General features: G+C 46.4%; 2 pseudogenes, besides 1 other annotated feature; both read left to right on the top strand.

The window, feature by feature from the left end:
- LOC100420545 (abhydrolase domain containing 15 pseudogene) lies at positions 2490 to 3406 on the top strand (annotated as a pseudogene).
- Positions 9987 to 10488: an enhancer, noted in NCBI's record as "NANOG hESC enhancer chr7:57696488-57696989 (GRCh37/hg19 assembly coordinates)". NCBI's record gives its function as "activates a minimal SCP1, AML or CMV promoter by ChIP-STARR-seq in naive H9 embryonic stem cells {active_cell/tissue: H9 hESC(naive)}" and the evidence as "EXISTENCE:reporter gene assay evidence [ECO:0000049][PMID:30033119]".
- BSNDP4 (BSND pseudogene 4) lies at positions 11930 to 12317 on the top strand (annotated as a pseudogene).

The following is a 20880-nucleotide window of genomic DNA, read 5'->3' on the forward strand; positions in this document are numbered from 1 at the left end:
AGACATTATGCCCTGGGTGACACCTAGGCTTCAGGGGAACACTAGGCCACAAGTGGTTACCTATGCCCCAGGTGGACATCAAGCCTTAGTGGAATTCCTAGTCACCAACTGAACATCAGGCCACAGGTGGCTGCCCAGGCCCTAGGTGAATACCAGGTCTCGCAGGGACATTAGGCCCCAGGTGAACAGCAAGCCCCAAGTGAATACCTAGGTTCCTGGTGAACATCAGGACCCAGGTGGCACTCAGGCCCTACACTCAGGCCAAAAGTGGAAATCAGAACATATGTGGACACTCAGGGCCCAGGTGGCTATCAGGCCCCAGGTTTATATCACTTTCCTGGTAGACATCAGTACCCAGGTAGATACTGGACTTCAGGTATACATCAGGTTCCTAGGTGGACACCCAGGCCCCAGGTGGACACCAGCCTACAAGTGGACATCAGACCACAGGAGGACACCCAGGCCCCAGATAGATATCAGACTCCAGAGGAACACCCAGGCCTCAGGTGGACATCAGGTCCCAGGTTAATTGCAGGCCCCAGATGGAACTCAGGCCCCACCTGGACAAAAGTCCCTAGGTAGATACGTAGGCCCTGTAGGCCCTGGGGAACATCAGGCCTTAGGTGAAGTTCTAGGCTACAGGTGGACATCTTGCTCCAGTTGGACATCTGGTCCCAAGTGGACATCAGTCTCCAGGTGGACACAATGTCCCAAGTTGGACATCAGGCACCAGGAGGACTTTAGTCCTCTGGTGAACACCAGCTCCCAGGTTGACATCAGGCTACAAGTTGACATCTAGGGCCCAGATGGACATGTGGCCCCATATGAACACTAGTCCCCAGTCAGCTAGGGACTGGGTCCACCTGGAGCCTGATGCTTAGCTAGAGACTGGATATCCACCTGAGGCCTAGGTATCTACCCAGGGACTGGTGTCAAAGTGGGGCCTGATATCCACCTGGGGACTAGGTATCCACCTGGGGCTTGATGTCCACCTCAAGCCAGATGACCTTCTGGAGTCTGATGTCCACCACAGGCCTGCGTGTCCATCTTGGGCCTGGTGTTGATTTGGATTCCAATGTCTACCTGGAACGTGGGGCCATGCTGTCCATTTGGAGCCTGGACTTTTCACCTGGGGCCTCGTAGACATCTGGCCCCAGTAAACATCAGCTTGGGGCCTGGTTGTCCACTTAGAGCCTGGAGTTTTCACCTAGGGCCTGAAGATCACCTGGGACCCAGGTGTCCACCTGGGACATCATGCTCCAGGTGTACACCCAGGCTCCGGGGTACAACGGGCCCCAAGAGAACTCCAGACCATATTAAACATCAAGTCTCAGGTGGATGCCCAGGCCCCATGGGTACACCAGGCCCCAAGTAGACAGTGGACGCCAGCTGAACATCCGCCCCAAGGTTGACACCCATACTACAGGTGGATATCAGGCCCCAGGTGAATACCTATGCTTCAGGTGTGCATCAGTCCCCAGGTGAACACAAGGCCACAGATAGACATCAGGCCTCAGGTGCACATCTGGCTCCAAGTAAACATCAGGTCTTAGGTGGATACCCAATCCCCAGGTTGACATCAGAGACCAGGTTGAAACAAAAACATCCCAGTGGGTATCATGTCCCAGTGGACGTCCAGGCACCAGGTAACTGTAACCACTGTAACGAGAAATGGTAGGTCTGAGTACCATCATGCTCCTTGCTCACAAAAGGATGCTTAGCTATTTTATTCAAAATACAACTCCATCCATCACTCTGAACAGCGATGTGTAGAAAGGAAAAGAAAAACCAGGCCCCAAGGAATCCCTCAAAAATGAGGTAGATATTATAAGGGACAGAAATCCCCAAAGGAAATGTTATAGTTGACATAGAATAGTCTTTAAAACCCATTAATTTTCTCGCACATTTGATACAAAGCATTATTTCCAGAGACTGAACCTAGAAAGAATTGCTTAAGACTAGGAGTCTTGTCCCAGCCTGGATCCCACACTGTTGAACATCTATACTTAGTACACCACATTATACATAGCACTGACATGACCTGTGTGCATTTAATTTTCTAATCCTTGTTCATCTGTGGCGTATTTTACATATATATATATATATATATATATATATATAAAACATATATAACATACATACATACAAGTACACATGCACAAAAAGTATATAAGGGTAGGATAGTATAATTGTGCCGTAACTTTTCTTGTGAAAGTGGTGGAAAATGGATTGCGTTGGCGACATGCTGGAATGTGCTTCCATTGGCAGAAGTAAGGCTTTCAAAACTAGTCGTTTCATTTTTCTCTAGCAACTGGGAATATTAATAATTGAAGATGTGTTGGTATAAAAATAATCATAATAATCACAATGAAGTGGTGTTAATAATTCTATCACAAGATATAATAGACATTATAGATATTATAAGATGTCAAAAAAAAGAAGATGCCATAATATCTTTGAGATGATTGACACGTTAAATGCGGCCTCCTGTGCCGCCCTGGGGCGCCACTCTCACTGGGTTCTTGGCGGTGCTCACCCTACTCCACCTGCTCAGCCCAGGCTCCTGCGCCCCTGAAGTCACGCCATGGGAGCGAGGAGCTTGCCGAGGCCCTAGACAAGGACAATGAGGAGGGGGTGCACGTGGAGTCCCCGCGGATAGGCTGGACGCTGGGCAGGAGCCTTTGCGGGGGTGCACAGCCTCCTCTGGAAGCCCTGGTCGCTGCCCGGTGCCTGCTGCGCCCTGCGAGCTCCGCGGCGGTGGAGCCAGGCCTGGGCTGCCTGCTCTCGGCCCTGCCTGCGGACCCTCTGCCTTTTGTCTTGCCCGTGGGGCCCGGGGCCTCAGCTGGCCCGGGATTCCTGAAGTTAGCTGATGATGGGCTGGCCTCTGGGACTGGGTCGTGGGCCTTGTGCACTGGCCGCCACGTCACCAGCGCCTACCCGGGGTGCTGCTGGAGATGCGGGATGCCCGGGCTCGGGCTCTGCTGGGTCCCCTGGCGTTGCGAACCCCGTCACCTTCCATCGCGGCCACCATGCTGCCCGCTGGTCAGCCCTGGTCTGGAGCCTTCCTGGGACCCCTCCGGCCCCAAGGAGGCATCACTCACAGCCGCTTGCGACACCGGGACCGCCTGAACCTCCGCCAGGGCTGCGCCGCGCAAGTGGCTCCAGCCAGCCAGCCCTGGCCCATGAGCAGGACTTTCCGCTCCTCGAGATGATCACCCTCGGCAGGGATACACGGCTATGGAGGAGGCAGCGGATACCTTCCAAAGTTTGTGGACACTCTTCTGCCACACCAAAAGTTTCACCATCAGCTGCGATGCCGACTGGGGCGTAGAGACCACTCCGGGATGTGGACCAGGCAGTGCGTTTGCTGGGCATCCGCCGTGCTGACCACCCCAAGTGCAGACCCGCACTTCGTGTAACTCCTACTGCACGTTCCACATCCAAAGTTCTGTTACCATTTCTAAGCAGGAGAAATCAAAAGAAACTGAAATCAGAAAGAAAGAGAGACACAGAGAGAAAGCCATGAGCAAAAAAAAAAAAAAAAAAAAAAAAAAAGAGCAAAACCTTTCGGAAAGCATAAAACACCCCAAAGCCAAAAACCAATTCTTATCTCTTTTAAACCTTCTGCCTTCTCCAATGATGAATGATTTATTTTTTTTTACCACTGACAATTCGTAATTATTAACTTCTCCGGCATTAATGAATAGAAATTGAATCACATGTGGGAGTATAATTTGTATCATATGAAGTTTTTCATATTTTAAAAAATAATTGTTCAGTTTTTCTCCATGGATTAACAATTAATGGAAAATTTTCAACATTGCTGTGTTAATGTCTCCTGAGATAATTAGATGTGAATAATCTTTTATAAACATAATTTCCTGGGTGGAATTTCTCATCTTCAGGAGCTTCATAAATAACCATGTCCCAAGAGAACTGTGAATTTGGGAACTGCAAGAACTGAGTCCCAACTTGTCCAGCCTGGAAGCTTTTGGGTGATCACTCTTGCAGGTGACTTCACTGCCTTCTGTTGAAGGGCCAGTGAGAGCCTGGGGGTTTCAACCTGCAAGAGCCTTACCGTTTTAGGGTTAGCATTAACAATGAGGAAAAGGCATACTTTTTTGATATTCTCCATATGTAATAAAATAGTTACCAAAACAAAGCAAAGTGTGAGTGGTGACTGTTGAGAGGACCCTTTTTATCTTTGCTGGATTCCCAGAGATTTCTGGGTTTCTTTTGGAGTCAATAGTATTTCCATGTTAATTCTGAGCTCTTAAAACCCACAATATGAGTTGCAGCCAGTGACTAGAGTTGCAGCCAGTGACTAGTGTTGCAGCTTGTTAAACTGATCACTGGTGGTAGAGCTTTTTCATTCTGCTCACTTCTTAAAAGGTCAGCTTGGTCAGGGATTAGTGCTCCCTTGCCAGAAATAAGCAGTTAGGAATCAAGTAAAGGAGTCAGCTAAAAGCGTAATTACTAAGTAGTGAGGTCACAGCTAGATGGTTGTTGATCTCATTTTCTCTCTGCTGCTGATTTCAAGGCTTTATACCGTGTTTTGATGTAACATAGAATGTATACTATGAAGGACAAATAGTCTGTTAGCTTCTTGGAGCTATGCTCCATTACTGGAGCAGGGGACAACAATTTGAAGGACATTACTACTTAGACAGTTTAATCTGCCTTTGGCTAGAATAAACTTGAAGTTCCAAGGGCTGGGTTCAGTTGTTATGCAAATTTAGATTGTTGCGGTAAAATTTCCAAATAAAAAGATAGGACTCTTTAGATGAAATAAGAATTTAACTGTATTTGAACCCTGTTGAAGGCCAGACAAGTTTAGGCAAAATCCCATGACTGAACACTCTGTGATGAGTCCCTTTAAATTCCAACATATAATCTATGTTGGTAAATATGATACATGCACTGGAAAAGGATGTGTATTCAGTAGTTGTTGAGTGTCATGTTCTGTATATGTCAGTTTATGTCAAGTTTCTTCATTGTGTTCATCAAATTTCCCTTTCTCTTATGGTTTTTCTTCTGTTGGTTCCATCGGTAATTGAAAGGTATGTTAAAATCTATATTGTAGATTAGACCATTTATCTTTTAGTTATATCAGTTTCTGTAGTAAATAATTTGAAGGGATATTTTATATTTATACATATTTAAAATTGGCATACTTTTCTAGTGACCGACATTGTAAAATCTTTTTTATCTTAGCTATATTTCTTGGCGTAAGACTAAACTTTCAATAATAACAAAGCAACATGAGCTTTGTGCTGATTAGTGTTTGCAGGCATGTTTTCCATTGTTTTACTTCCAAATGTCTGGATTCTTGTATTCAGATAAATTAAATAAACATAAAAAATAAATATAATATAAAACATTAAAAACTAAATATTCTAAAAATCCAGCCAGAGATGTTTCACTTTTAATTGAAGGGTTTAGGACCATGGTGCTCACACTGTGTGCTAAGGTGCCCTGAGATGCTGTGTTTAACTGACCGGGGCACCAGCGGATAGTGTGTGAGTATGTGTATGTGTGTGTGTGTATTTGAGATGGGGGTCTCACTCTGTCCCCCTGGCTGGAGTGTGAGGTCTAGGCTCACTGCAGCCTCTGCCTCCCTGAGTAGCTGGGACAACAGGCATGCACCACCACGCCTGGCTAAGTTTTGTAATTTTAGTAGAGATGGGGTTTTGCCATGTTGCCCAGGCTGTAAATTTTTGAGGGAAACAAAGCAACATTTGCTGGAAACCTTAAGAACTACTAGCCTGAAGCAGTTCATAGTTTCAAAAGTAGTTAGTTAGAAGTGCATTTCTTTACCTTTAAGGTGGGTGTTGTTAATCACCGCGATGAAAGCAAGTATTGTGCTAAAGTCAGTGTGGAATAGGAATAAGGTCCAGTGGTTGAGATCCAGTCCGATTTTAAGATTTGAAAAGTTGTGCTGTGTGCCCAACAGGCACAAACATCCCATTAGTAAGTAAATTGTGCTTTTTTAAGAAAGAAACAAAAATACTGTTTCTACTTCCATCGCGTGTTATTTTTTATGTGTACTTGCAAATCCATCACCAAAATAAAAATAATGAACATATCTAGCACTCATAAAAGTTTCCCCTTGCCCTTTTATAATCCCAAACTTTCTGTATCTTCCTACCTTACCACTCTCCCTGGCAATCACCAATCTGTCACTATAAAATAGTTTGCCTTGTCTAGACATTTATATAAATGAAATGTAGTATGCACCCTTTTTTGGAGGGGTCTGGCATCTTTCACACAGCATAATTATTTTGAGATTCAGCTATATTGCAGGCATCAATAGGTCATTAATTTTATTACTAAGTAGTATTCTATTGTGCAGATCGGTCACAACTTACATATCCATTTGCCTGTTGATGGGTTTTTGCATTGCTTCCGGTTTTGGACTTATACAAATACATTTGCAATGAACATTCATGTACATAAGTTCCTATAACTTTGAGTAAATATTAGGAGTGCAATAGCTAATAGGTTTAGGTTTAGTTTTAAGAGACTGTCAAAATGTTTGCTAAAATGGTTGTACCATTTTATATTTTTATCAGCAGTATATAAGAATTCCACACTCTTGCCAACACTTTGTATGGGCCTTCTTTTAAAAGTTTAGACATTTTCATGTGTGTACAATAGTATTTTATTGTGGTTCCATAATGCCTAATAACATTTAGTATCTATGTACTTACATGCCATCTGTATATATTTGGTAAAGTGTATGTTCACTTTTTTTTTGGCTTCTTTTTTTGTTTTTTTTCTTTGCTTTTTTTCTCATTATTAAATTTTAATAGTTTCTTTATATACTCTGGATTCAAATCCCTTATTAGATATGAGACTTGCCAGTATTGTCCCCTTGACTTTTCTTTTTTGTTCTCATAACACTATCTTTCAATTAGCAGATGCTCTTAATTTTGATGGGGTCCAATTTATTAATTGTTCTCATGCATTTGGTTTCTGGGGCTTCATCTAAGATATTTTTGATTAATTGAATATTATGAAGTTTTTTTTTCTTTATTTTCATCTAAAAGTTCATAGCTTTTAATACTTTATTTTATATTTAAGTTAATGGTCCTATAAGTGACAGAGCTTTAACCCAAGTCACTGTCATGCATAGGTGGACCCAGGGGCTTATATAAGATCATCAAGAAATGTTCTCCTTCTTTCTCTTGACACTTTTCCTTTTGTTTTAGCCTCATTTTTTCCTTCTGAAGGTGACTCTCTTCTCTCTCTGTAGCAAGAGATAGTGCTACAAATAACCCACTTTACTTTGTCCTCGCAGACCACAGTGGTAGAAAAAGCAAGAGTCCTTCCTGATGATTCCAAAAAAAAAGTACTGAAACAGTTGCTATGATCCAAGGGTAGAGTCTTTTGCCAGAGCTGGGCATCATGATCACCTCTAGGGCTGGGGCTGGTAGGTTGGGTCAGGCCTAGTTGGTGCCCATTGAAATGGTCCTCAAAGAAAAGGGGGGCTCTCAAGAGGAGGGTTGCTGAACACCCCACCAAAAAATAGCCACTGTGTACATACCTACAATTCCTTGCCAGTTTATAAGCAACTGGTTGGGTGGAAAATGACTAGAAATTCAGTTGTCATTAATTTTCCTTTATAATGTCAGTAGGATGAGCCATACATTTCACATGTTGTGGGTTATGTCCATGATAGTCATTTCTGTGTATTAGGTATCAATTTGGAGTATCATCTGAAGAAATATACTATTTTGTGATGTTATCCTTAAATTAATATTTTTAGGATAAAGAATTATAGGATGAAAGAAAAGTGTAGGATAGAAATAAAAGAATAGAGAAAATGAGAGCATGGATATACTGCAGAAAATGGCCAAACAGGAAAAGTACTTGTGAGAGGTACTGAAGTACATAAGTGATATCACATAGACCTCCAGGAAATTACAACTACTGGCATAAGAACAAATTATCCGAATAGTCTTTGCTAATACTGAGTCTTTTCTGCTTGCAAAAGAAGTAAGAATGGTAAGGAATCGGGACATTGTTCAGATAGGCCTCAATGCATTTATTCATTTACCTGTTGATGGGGTTTGGGGGTATTAATGAAGGATGTTAAAAAATAATAATGGGCATGCTAGGTAATCATAATTGATTTGTCCATTTGGTGTGAAGAACATTTTGCCTACCTTCTTTTTTGTCGAGGGATTCATTTTTAATGTCATGTTGGATTCTATGGCTTACTAAATGTGTAATTGCCTATTTATGGATTCTGAAGAATTTTATAAAATGTATTTGCCAAACATTTTGAAAGCTTAGAACTTCTCCAAGGAAGAAGTTCTTTAGTGCTTTAGTGCTGCCCTGACAAATATGGTAGCCACAGCCATGTGAATATTGAGCATTTGAAATGTGGCTAGGCTGGATTGAGATGTGCTGTCAGGGGAAAACACACACCAGATTTTGAAGACTTAGTAGGAAATAAAATTAAACATATCTAATTAATAACTTTTATATTGGTTAGACATTGACATAATATTTTGTATGTATTTTACATATAAATATACATTCATGTGTATGTGTAATTAATATCTTCACATGAAATACTTCTCAATTACAATTGGAAGAATGATGACTTTGTGGTGGAGAAATCTGGCACAAACTTGATCATATGCCTCCTGCTGTGATGTCCTAGGAAGACCACAGCATTATTTCTGTGGTTTTCTTGTGAAAGATACATGACCTAAGTCTGGATATGGAAACCCATCAGATGGAAAAAGGTGAACACATCCTTCATAAATGCTTATGATCTTTAAAACTCTTAAGGTTATGAAAAATAGGGCAAAAGAGAGGAACTGTTTGAAGTTGAAGGAGCTTAAGAGACATGACAATTAATGCAATGGGAAATCCTGGATTGGATCCTGGATTACAAAGTTCAAAAAAAATGTATTTAGGGCGCCACTGAGAAAATTTGGATGAGATTATAACATCTGTTGATTGGACAGTAGTGTTGGGTGAATGCTGATATCCTGACATGGATGATTATGTTCTGGTTATGAGAACTTTTCCCAGATTCCTCATTGTTTGCCCATTGCGTTCATGGACAATGTGGTGATGGTAGCAGGAGAAGATGCTGCATGTTTCCAATAATATGAACTTCCCTGCAGCAGTGCTGCCTACTGCCCAGATGAGTGCCCTGACTGCCGACAATGAGCAATGCTGAGACCCTGGAAAGAGGAACTACCTTGCCTAGACCAGACAGATTTCTGGTAATGTTGTAATAATATTTTTTCCCTTCCTTCATGGAAGTGGTAAAGAATTGCCCTCACTGGAATAGATGCATATCGGAATATGGACTCCACTTCATATGCTTCTCATAGCATCAAATTATTTACATTTGCTGAGTTCTTATTCTCTGCTGTCATACAATATTACTACTGATGATGGAGCTTATTTTACAAAAAAAAGGAGTGATGCGATGGGCTTCAGCCCAGATTTATTGGTCTTGTGACATCCCACATCACCCAGAGGAACATGACCTCACAAGAATCAGTTACTTCACCAACTGTGAGACCCTGAGGGGCTGGGTTTCTATCCCCCAAGATGTGTTAGATGCCCTGACCCAAGAGCCCTCCTACCCAGAATGCATGGTTCCATGTAGCAAGGATCAATGTGATGGTGGTGATGATGATGGTGAGGATGGTGACGGTGAAGGTGGAGGTGGTGATAATGAAGTGATAGTTATGTTGAGGATGATGAAGGTGATGATGATGATGAGAATGGTAAAGGTGAACATGGTGATAGTGAGAATGGTGATGGTGGTGATTGTGATGGTGATCATAAGGATGGTGATGGTGAAGGTGGTGATGATAATAGTGATAGTTATGGTGAGGATAATGGTGATGATGATGAGGATGATGATGGTGAGAATGGTGATAGTGATGATGATAGTGATGGTAATGATGATAATGATGATGATTATGAGGATGGGGAGGGTGACAATCATTATTATGGTGAGGATGGTGATGGTGAAGGTGGTGATAACGATAGTGATAGTTATGGAGAAGATGCTGGTGTCGATGATGGTGAGAATGGCGGGGGTGAGAATGGCGGAGGTAAGAATGGTGATGGCGATGATGATAGTGTTGGTGATTGTAAGGATGGTGATGGCGATCATGGTGATGATGATGATGGTGCTGACTGGGCTATGAGGTAATGGAGGCAGAAAAGTGGAAGTTTCTAGGAAGTATAGAGCCAGCTGGGAACTGCAAGGCAACCTTAGTGGGGGTGGAAGATGTCGGGCCCCTGCCTCATTTCTAGACATCTGGGGAAAGCTCACCCCTCACAGTAGTTCCAGGAACCCCTCCATCCAGCATTTCCTTCTCGCAATCAGCATGGAGCTTTTGGGGTGCAGAGAAGTGTCTTCTATTCACTGCACTCTGTGGGAAGGGAAAATGGGGAGTGCTATTTATGAACCCAGTATAATACAGTAGGGTCTTATCTAATATATTCTGGGAGAATTTTCAGCTGAAGAGAGCAAGCCTCAGAGAAGTCAGATAACTTTATCTTCAATAGCATCCAGTTGTGATTTATTGAGCAGTTACTATGTGCCAGGCAACATGCTGGGTGGTTCCTTATATGTTATCTCATGAAATCCTACAGCAACACAAGGAGACAGGCATAACTACCCCATTTTAAAAATTGTGGTAAAATTAACTAAAATTTACTGTCTAACTATGTTTAAGTTTACATTTCGGTGGCATTAAATACATTCACAATGTTGTGCAACCAATTTCCAGAATGCTTTTCATCTTGTAACACTACCATTCTGTAACTCATTTAAAAACAACTCCCCAATCCCCACCCTCCCCAGGACCTGGTAGCCACCATTCTCCTGTCTGTCTCTATGGATTTGACTACTCTAGGTGCCTTGGAAAAGTGGAATAATACAGCATTTGTCTTTTTGGTCTGGCTTATTTTGCTCAGCCTAATGTCCTCAAGGTTCATTCTTGATGCAGCAGGTGTCAGAATCTCCTTCCTTTTCAAGGCTGAACACTATTCCACTGTATGCAGAGACAGCATTTTGTTGATCCGTCCGTCCATCCATGGACACTTGGGTTGTTTCCACCTTTTGGTTATTGTGGATGATGCTGCTCTGAACATGGTTGTGCAAGTGTCTCTTCCAGGCTAGCCCCATTATACAGAAGAGCATAGAGAGATTCTGGGAAGGGGCATGACCTGCCTGGGGCCTTTGGTGAGGTCCTGGTGGAGGATCTCCCAGACCTCAAAGGCAGAGCTCCTCTCCTCACCCCACTGCCTTTCTTAGGACCTGCCTCCTGCTCCACCACACAGTGCCCACTCCCTGGTACTAGACTTGCTAAGGTCTCTTGATCCTTGAAAGTTCAGGGACAGGAACTGGTGGGCACAACTACAGTCAATCACTGCTCTGTCACCTACTGCAGACTCTGTGCCAAACAATACATGACAATGACCTGCTTTCCACTGTTTCACCAGATGTGGATGAGGCATCTGCTGCATGCCAGGCATGTGTGGGCACTGGATGGAGACCCCTGGGAAATGAGAAGATGTGAGCTCCTCAAGACCAGGGGCATCCCTTTCCCTTGCTGCTACCCTGTGAGGGATGGAGGGGAACCCTGAAGCATTGGAGAAGTGCATGAGTGACCTAGCTCAGATGATGATATCATAGTAACCCTATTTATTATCACCTACCATGTGCCAGGCATTGTGCAAAGTACTTTGCACACATTACCTGCTGTAAAGCTCAGAGACAACTGTAGGAGTGAATCTGTTATACCTCCCACTTTACAGGGGAGGAAACTGATGCCCAGAGAGGTGAATCAGTCTTCCCCAGGCCTTGCAGCTAGTCTCTGGGATGTGGATCCAGGCAGTCTGACTTAGAGATCCCCTCATCCTCGTGGTTTTTGCCCCTGCAGCCCTCTGACCTGTCCCCAGGGCCCTGTACCCTTGGCCACCTCCAAGATGACCTGGACATGGGCTTCAGCAAAGGTAGCAACCCCAAAACACCTCCATTTGATAGGGAGGAAGCTCAGGCCCACCACAGGAGACCTGGGCTGCAGGTGGTGTAGGTGCTGGCTGAACCAAAATGCACCCATGTTGGAGGATGCACCCTAGGATGGGCAGCAGCGGGAGGTCTCCCTGCCCAACAACTGGTAGTGGTACCTGAGAACAAAGGAGGAGAAGGAGGCTTTGGACACAGGTGTGGAGAAGCCCAAGGAGGAAGAAGAAGACTCAGACTATGGGCTGCTGGATGGCCTCAAGGATCCCCTCCCAGAAAAGGAACTTTGAGACTTATACCCAGGGCTGAGATGAAAGTGCTCCCTATTTTCTATCCTGGAACTGCTGCAAACCTCGGCATGACATCACAGGGCCTCATTTCCCTATTTGTAAAATGGGATTTTATGGGGGTTCCAATGAGACACTGGACCCAGAGCATTTTGAGAATTGTAAAAAATGTACAGTGAGGGAATAATTATTATCAATGGACCATTGCTCTTCCAATAGTTAGTATTCTTTAGCAAATATTTGAAGGTAAAATATGATTTGTTGAGGAGGTTTGCAGCAGCTGAGGCCCTCAAGAGTCTTTTCTGTCTCTGTTCAAAGCTGGCCTCTGACAGGGACCTTCTTGGCACTACCCCTGGGCCTCTCATCCTTTGTGCAGGCTTCTCAGGGTTCTTATTTCTATTGCATCTTGTGGTTCCTTAGTGGATGGCATGCTCCATCTTCACTCAAAGCTAACTGCATCTTCTCCAGGTCCATGTCCCTTGTGCAGCACCCACTGCTCCCTCACCAGGATTCAAAACCTTCTGTGACTGACCTCTGCTGACCTCCCAACTTTATCCCCCCTCATTCTTTCTGCTCCTCCAGTTCCATGCCTGCACCCCTCAATCCTGTGACTCACACTCTCACCCAAGCTGTTCTCCATCAGGATTTCCTTGGCTCCCTTTTCTGCTAGGCAAATTTGTGTTCATCCTTCCAAGCCCTGCACAGATGTCCTCCTCTGAAAGCTCTCCCTGAGGTCACAGAGTCCTGGAACAAGGCAGTCTTTGCTCCTCTGCTGCCTCTGGGTTTTGTGCCTTTATCACTTTGGTGTGACTGCCTGCCTCCTGCTGAAGGGAGGCATTTTGGCTTTACTCACCTCAGTATCTCCTGGGTCCAGCTGGGTGTCTGGCCTGGCCCAGAATCGGTGCTCATCGAAGGTGTATAGAACTCACAAGGACCCAGGAATGTTTTGCAAATAACACCACCCTCCCACACTTCTCCAATGTTTACTTTCTAAGCTCCTTTACTCTTTGACATTCAAATTTCTAAATGGCGTGTATGTATTTACAAAGCCTGGGAAAACGCCTTCAGAGGACAAACACACCCCACTGGCAGAATGTATTTGCATTGACTAGCATTATGGATGAAATTCAGCTTTCTGGCAAATGAATCATTTGGCATTGACTGAGTATCTGCTCTGTGCCAGATACTAAACTGTGATCTCTAGAAAGAGATATGAACTACTGACACAGTCCTTGACACTGAAGAGCTCAGAATCCAGTGAGCTTGATTTCTTGTAAGTTAGAGACAGAGTTCAGAGCAGAAGCTCAGGAAGGAGAAGAGAAGTAAAATGGACACAAGAGAGGCAGTGACAGCCACACAGCTGTCTGGGGGGACACTGGGTGCAGCAAGAAATAGCTTAGGCTGCCTTGGCAGCCCACGAAGGTATCACAGTCTCCTATTGCAGCATCTCAGTAATGCTTTTGTTATTCTGATCTCTGCAAAGCCCCGCTGTGCCCCAGCCCAGGATGGTGGCAGCCATGCTGTGGAGAAAAGGGCAGTGACCAGGACCACAGGCTCAGAGCTTGCACCCTGGACCACCTGGGAATGGGAGCCCTTCACATGTTCTCTGCCTCTGTGTTCAGGTTGGGGGTCCTGGCCAAGGAAGGGAGATGACCCCCATGCTGGGTCAAAAGGACACACTCCCAGGAACAGACTATCTCTTCTTTCTGGGTAATTTCTGCCTCTGCAGTGAATGGTGAAACCAGACACATCCTCTGTGTTGATATGACACAAAGACAGGCATTCCTGCTCATGGGCTGAATCTTCAGATGAGGGGAGGTGTAGCACACTCCTGTGCTCTGCTGGCTAAGGCAGGGACACATGTCACCCCATCAGAATGAGTGCCAGACCAATGGCTACAATAAAATCATTTTCAATATTCAAAGGAGTCACCTTCATTCATCTACAAATACTTTTCCTTTTCTTTTGTTTTTTTTTTTTTGTTTGTTTTTGTTTTTGTTTTTTTTTTTTTTTGAGATGGAGTCTTGCTCTGTTGCCTAGGCTGGAGTGCAGTGGCATGATCTTGGCTCACCACAACCTCCGCCTCCTGGGTTCAAGCGATTCTCCTGCCTCAGCCTCCCGAGTAGCTGGGACTACAGGTGCCCACCACCACATCTGGCTAATTTTTGTATTTTTCATGCTGACAAGGTTTCACTATATTAGCCAGGCTTGTCTTGAGCTCCTGACCTTGTGATCCGCCCACCTTGGCCTCCTAAAGTGCTGGGATTACAGGTGTGAGCCACCGCGTCTGGCCCAAGTTTTTTTCTATAAAACCACCTATTGCACTCAGGGTAGGGTAAATGATGCATCATGCCTGCTGGCAACATGGGCCCTATCTGGAAAGTGAGTGCCACCACCATGGCACAGTGCTGTGCAGTGCCTGTGTGGTGCTGAATCTCAGGAGCAGCCCCCATCCTGTGAACCACAACTACAGGGACCTTAGACATAAGCAAAGACCTCTGGTGTCCAGGCCTGCCAGCAAGCAGATGCTTAACCCTGTCCTTGGGGTCTGCAGGGAGGTCAGGCCAGTGGAGAGGTTGCAAGACCCATGTGTGGTCTCCCACACTCCCTCCCATGCTATGCAATGGGGCCAACCACACACCCGATCTGCCTGGGAGGGTCCTGGTATGCCCACTGCCTCGCTGAGTTATGAGGAATGCTGCCTCTCACATCTCACCAGTATCGCATTTGAAGGACAGATTATGTCTTCCCTTCCCCACCCTGTGGACCTTCGCTTCCTCATGTGCAAGTGGGGGATGATATGCTTACATGGTTATGCAGTGGGGGTATCGATGAGATCCATCTATCAATACCCTGCATCCAGCAACCACCTGGAGCACACCTGCAGTTCACAAGCTGGGCTTCCTGCTGCAGTGAGGGGACCAAGCACTGCCTGGAGCCAGGGAGCTTCTCTGAAGGAGGTGTTGGAAAGTACTTGTTCCAGAACTTGGGCTTGTATTGGGAGTTTGGGGGAGGGTTGAAAGAAGCCTTTGCTCCAGATTGGATGCTGTCAGAGGCAGGGTACATTCTATCACCTGACATCTTCCCCAACCTTACCTAGAGGGAAGGAAGACAAGACCAAAGTTAATGCTGCAATTGACAAAGAGGTAGTGGTCATGAAATAGACACACGGGAGGGGATGTGAGGTCATTTTTGTCCATATTTTGCATGAGCTGAGCCATGATAGCTACCAAGTGACCTTGCTTTGTCTTGACCCATCATGGTCACAGAGCGACCTTGTCTGATGCTGACAACCTGTGCAGTTCAACAGGAGAACACCAATGGCTTGCCAGCAGTGGTTGCTGTCCTCCTGAGGACTCACTGCTCCTCCTCTGGGGCCGACTGCTGACCGTGGGAGGGGAATATGCCATGGGTTTTTTTTTTTTTTTTTTTTTTGCAGAGCAAGGGCAGGGGACTCTGATGCCTTCAGCTCTGGCCATCCTGAGTGCTGTGATCTGCTTCCCCTTCTTTCTACACCACTCGCAATCCCACCACGCTGCTGCAGTCACTGCCAACTCATAGAGCCTTCTAAGGGCCCCAGGGTCTCTGGGACACCCCCTCTCCCCTGGGAGGGAAGCAAGGTCCTCATGAAGGTCCCAGGTGCAGGTGCTGAAAGAGTGTGGAGGTGCCTCCTTGAGTGTCAAAGTCTGGGATTCCAGCTTTCAGCCTCAGGTTCCAGGTGTGTGTGCCGAAGTGGAATTTTCTGCTCTCATTCGCTCTCCTGTCTGGTAAGAGGAACTTGGGGAGTTTCCTCTCTAGGGGATGGAAAGGCCCTGGAGAGGCGGCCTTGCCCTGAACTGGGAAGGGGTGGGCATGGGAAAGCAGGGGCCTGGGCTCTACCTACTGCTTGCTGACAGCTTGGGCACAGCACTGCCCTCCCCGGGCTCCTGTCTCTTTTCTCTGTATGATTAGGTGGAGGTGGATGGGATTCTGCTTCTACTCCCAGTCCTTGGGCACCATGTACATTGCAGGTGCTCAAAGTGTTGGTCTTTCCTTCCCTTTCTAGGTCTCCATTTCCTCATCTATACAGTAGGGAGCAACACTGTCCTGATTATAAATAAGACAATAGGTGAATGCACTCAGCAAGCCTGGGGGCAGGGATGCATAGAGAAGCTTCTTGCAAAGGTGAAGAATGCGTGCTCTGAGCCCTGTGCTGAGAGGCAGGTGAGAGGACAGCAAGCCCAGCGACTGAGGCCTACAAAATGCCCCCTGCAGAGAGGGAGGAGGAGCAGTGTTCTAAAGTGGGTGGGAGGCAGCATCCCCAGTGCTTGCAGGAGGAGCAGGACTGCTTGTACTTGCTCAGGTGAGTGGTAGGTTAGGTTCTTAGGCATCTGCTGGGTATCAGATGCTGCACAAGCATCATCTCCATGAATTTAATCTTTCCATCATCCCTGAGAGTTGGGCATTACAGGGGCATAGTGGGATTGAAACACAGGTGTCCTGAGCCTGTGCATTTTCTACTAGGCAACTTGGTTCACATGTAATAATAGGACCCAAAAATACACCTGCTATGCTGTGCTCACCTGATTTCATAACATCCTTGTGACCTGCGAGGTTGGTGTACTGTCCTCATTTTATGGATGAGAAAACTGAGGCTCAGAGAGGCTGAATAATTTGCTCATCCTTCCAAAGAACTAAACGGAAGAGAGGTCCTATAGCTGTGGGGCCTTCTATTCCTGGCAGGAAGTGTGCAGTACCCCAGGCCATTCTGACCCTACTGCAGGCAGGAGAAAAGGCACATCAACAAATCCAGCAGCAAGCTTCCTCTGAGGGCCTCCCTGGCCTTTCTTTGCACTAGTGCTGATGAAGAAACAGCCTTGTTCCTTCACCTAACATGGCTTCCTGCCACCCCCAGGATAAAGGTCAGAGTCCTCAGTCTGTGTTTGAGACTCTTCATGGTCTGGTCCCACCTGCATTTCCAGCCAATTCCTCCACAACGGCCCCCAGTGCAGCAGCCCTGGCCACCTGTCCCATCCCACCATCCTGCCTTGGCTCAAGCTGTTCCCTCTGTCCCATGCTATTCACACATAGAACAAGGAGAAGCTTGATATAGGCTAACCTGAATTTTCCATTTGAGAGCATTTTCAGCTTCTGGAAACAGACATTTCACCCAAAATTCCAGATTCCCTGCTTCTCTGAAAATAAATAAATAAATACATACATACATACGTACATAAATCTGCTCTTACTCTGCACTATTCTGTTTTTTGAAACAGAGTTTCACTCTTGTTGCCCAGGCTGGAGTGCAGTGGTGCGATCTCTGTTCACCGCAACCTCCGCCACCTGGGTTCAAGTGAGTCTCCTGCCTCAGCCTCCTGAGTAGCTGGGATTTACAGGCATGAACGACCATAGCTGGCTAATTTTCATGTACTTTTTTTTAGTAGAGATGAAGTTTCACGATGTTGGTCAGGCTGGTCTCCAACTCCTGACCTCAGGTAATCCGCCAGCCTCAGCCTCCCAAAGGGCTGGGATTACAGGTGTCAGTCACCTCACTTGTCCAGTCTGCACTATTCCTTAGTGTCAGACAATTTGAGCCAAACAATGTCTTTCTCATTTGGACATGACCTTCAGGGTCTAATTTTTGTATTTTTAGTATAGATCAGGTTTTTTTTTTTTTTTTTGACAGAGTTTCACTCTTGTCGCCCAGGCCAGACATTGCAGTGGCATGATCTCAGCTCAATGCAACCTCCGCCTCCTGGGTTCAAGCGATTCTTCTGCCTCAGCCTCCCAAGTAGCTGGGATTACAGGTGCCTGCCACCACACCCGGCTAATTTTTTGTATTTTTAGTAAAAACAGGGTTTTGCCATGTTGGGTAGACTGGTCTCAAACTCCTGACCTTAGGTGATCCACCCTCCTCTGCCTCCCAAAGTGTGGAATTACAGGCATGAGCCAGAGCCTGGCCTCACCTGGTTAATTCTTTGTATATTTGAAGAGACAGGGTTTCACCGTGTTGTCCAGGATGGTCTTGATCTCCTGACTTCGTGATCCGCTGGCCTCAGCCTCCCAAAGAACTGGGATTAGAGGTGTGAGCCACTGCACCTGGCCTCAATGTAGCTTATTATCAAAGTATTTACATAGAAAAATTAATCAAAGGGCACAAGCATTTCAATACTTAGGTTAAGATGAAATCTGTGGCCGGAAGAGTGCCAGACACACATGAAATGTTTTGTGCATGAAGGAACCACAACTTAAAATGATTTTCTGTTATGCGTTTTGGTATGTTATTTTGGAAATGTGATTAATCACGTATGTCAAGGACGTTGGGAAGAATTTCCAGATACTCTGATATGCATGACATCTTAATCATACAATATAAAGCAAGGCTATCTTAGGAAATTAGGTATCACTGCCAAAGACCTTTACATGAGAAGATAAATTAAAATTACTATTAAATTTGTAACAGTCAGATGGGCTGGCAGGCAAGTTGTGTCATTTTTTTTCTTAGCATTTTTTCTTTTCCTTGATTCAATAAAACAAACTTAAATGCCAGCTATCTGCAGAACCCTCACTAGACTATGTTTAATGATATGTGAAACACAGCCTGCACACTCACAGATCCTTGCCACGTCCCATCCTCTCAAAACCTGTGTTACCCTGTGGCTAGATTTCTCAAGGAGATGAAAGAGAGAGACGAATGAGAACCATCTTCTTTCAGGGTGCTCTGCACTGTTCCTGCAGGTAGACAACGACCTCTCCGGTAAGGCTATTATCCTTGGCTGGGGGGTGGAGGCCTTAATCCTAGAAAAGAGGCCTTTCAGGGTGGGGAGGCGATTTAAATTCTTATGAGAGAGACGCAGCTCCCCACCTCATCTGGACCTTCACAAACCTAAACTGGAACCGCCGGAAAAATGACTGACAACCGGCCACACAAGCCAGGCAGAGACGCGGGGAGAGGCTGACCACAAGAAAGGAGGACGTAGAAAATACCACCCTCTGGCGCACAGGGCACATGTGTCCCAACACGCACACACAGACGGACACAGAGCAAAAGAGTGAGAAAGGGGAGAGAGAGAAACAAGAGAGAGATATACGTACACACACAAACGCACAAAGACATACAGCAGTGGCACGGTAACACCTACCCCCAGGTAGCCCCTGAATTTTCAGGGTTCTGCTCTCCACGACTACAACCCACTGGTGAGAGAGCAGCCCAGGGGCACACAAGAAAACCTCTCCTTTTTTGAAGAGACTCACTGGCACACTGTCCGTGCAGGCCTGAGGCTGGGATCCCGCACTGCTTCCCCGGCCCTCCGCCCGCAGCTTCTTCCTCCTGGACGACCCTCCGTGAATCCCGGCCTCCAGAGACTATCCTGTTGATGCCCTGGCCATGACTGGTCTTAGCCCCGGCCATGACTGGTCTTAGCCCCGACTCTGACTAATCCCTGTAGTCCCAGGTACTCGGGAGGCGGAGGCAAGAGAATCACTTGAACACAGGCGGCAGAGTTTGCAGTCAGCTGAGATCCCACCACTGCACTCGACTGAGCGACAGAGTGAGACTCTGACTATAAAAAAAAAAAAAAAAAAAGAAAGAAAAGAAAAATGACCGTGGAGCGGCGGCTGCGGGAGTAGGGCGGCGGCGGGTGAAGTGAAGATTGGGAGAGAGGCCTCGTCAACTCTCCCCGAATCCAGGCCTGAGGCTGGGATCTCGCGCTGCCGCCCAGGTGATCCGCCTGAGGTTTCTTCCTTGTGAGGTTTCTTCCTGGTGGTCGACCCTCCGAGAATCCCAGGCTCCGGAGACCATCCTGTTAATGCCCTGGCCAGGACTGCTCTCAGACTTGACCCTGACGCACTATCACACGGGGCTCCTACTTCGCAAAGTCTCAGAAACCCATCCCCGGGCAACAGTGTCAATCACTACGACCAAAGCGGAGGCTCAGGCCTTGCGCATGCGCACTGGCAAGGCCGACTCCCAGCTTGCTTCGGAGAGTCAGGCCTCAGATCCTTTAAAAAATGGCGGCGATGCGCGGCCGGGGGTCTGGGGCAGCGGTGGCGGTGGCAGCGCAGTCCGAGGCGGCGGGTGGGAAGAGGACTACAAGAGGGTACTGCGGGAGACCCAACGGTTGGACCCATAGAGGTCCTGTCATCAGGACCTTCTTAATCGGTCTTCTGCTTCGGTTCCCAGTGGAGGAGGAGCTTCAGGGTGCGGCTGGGCTCTCTGGACTCCTCTTCAGATCTGACTATGGATCCCACGGGGTGATCAGGAATGGGGTTACAATGCAGTGGGGCGGGAAGGGTCTCGCTGGGGCACAGAAAGATCCTAAGGGCTGCAAGGCGTACTGTCGCTGAAAATGCACTGACCCATGAGCCCACTGCCTCCCTCCTTCCTAGGTGGAGCAGTGGTCTGACTTCATCTCCAAGGTTCGGGGCTCTGTTATCCCGACACTGCTTTCCGTGGCATGTGCAAGGAGAGACAGAGGCGAGTCCGAGATGGAGCCAATGTGACCACACGTGGCACTAATGTTCCCCAAGAGTAGATGGAGTCAGTGTGTGTCTTTGAGGCCGTATGGGGCGATGCTGAGACGGATGGTGACGTCCAGGTGT

The sequence above is a fragment of the Homo sapiens genome, chromosome 7, assembly GCF_000001405.40.
Source record: "Homo sapiens chromosome 7, GRCh38.p14 Primary Assembly".
Taxonomy (NCBI): domain Eukaryota; kingdom Metazoa; phylum Chordata; class Mammalia; order Primates; family Hominidae; genus Homo; species Homo sapiens.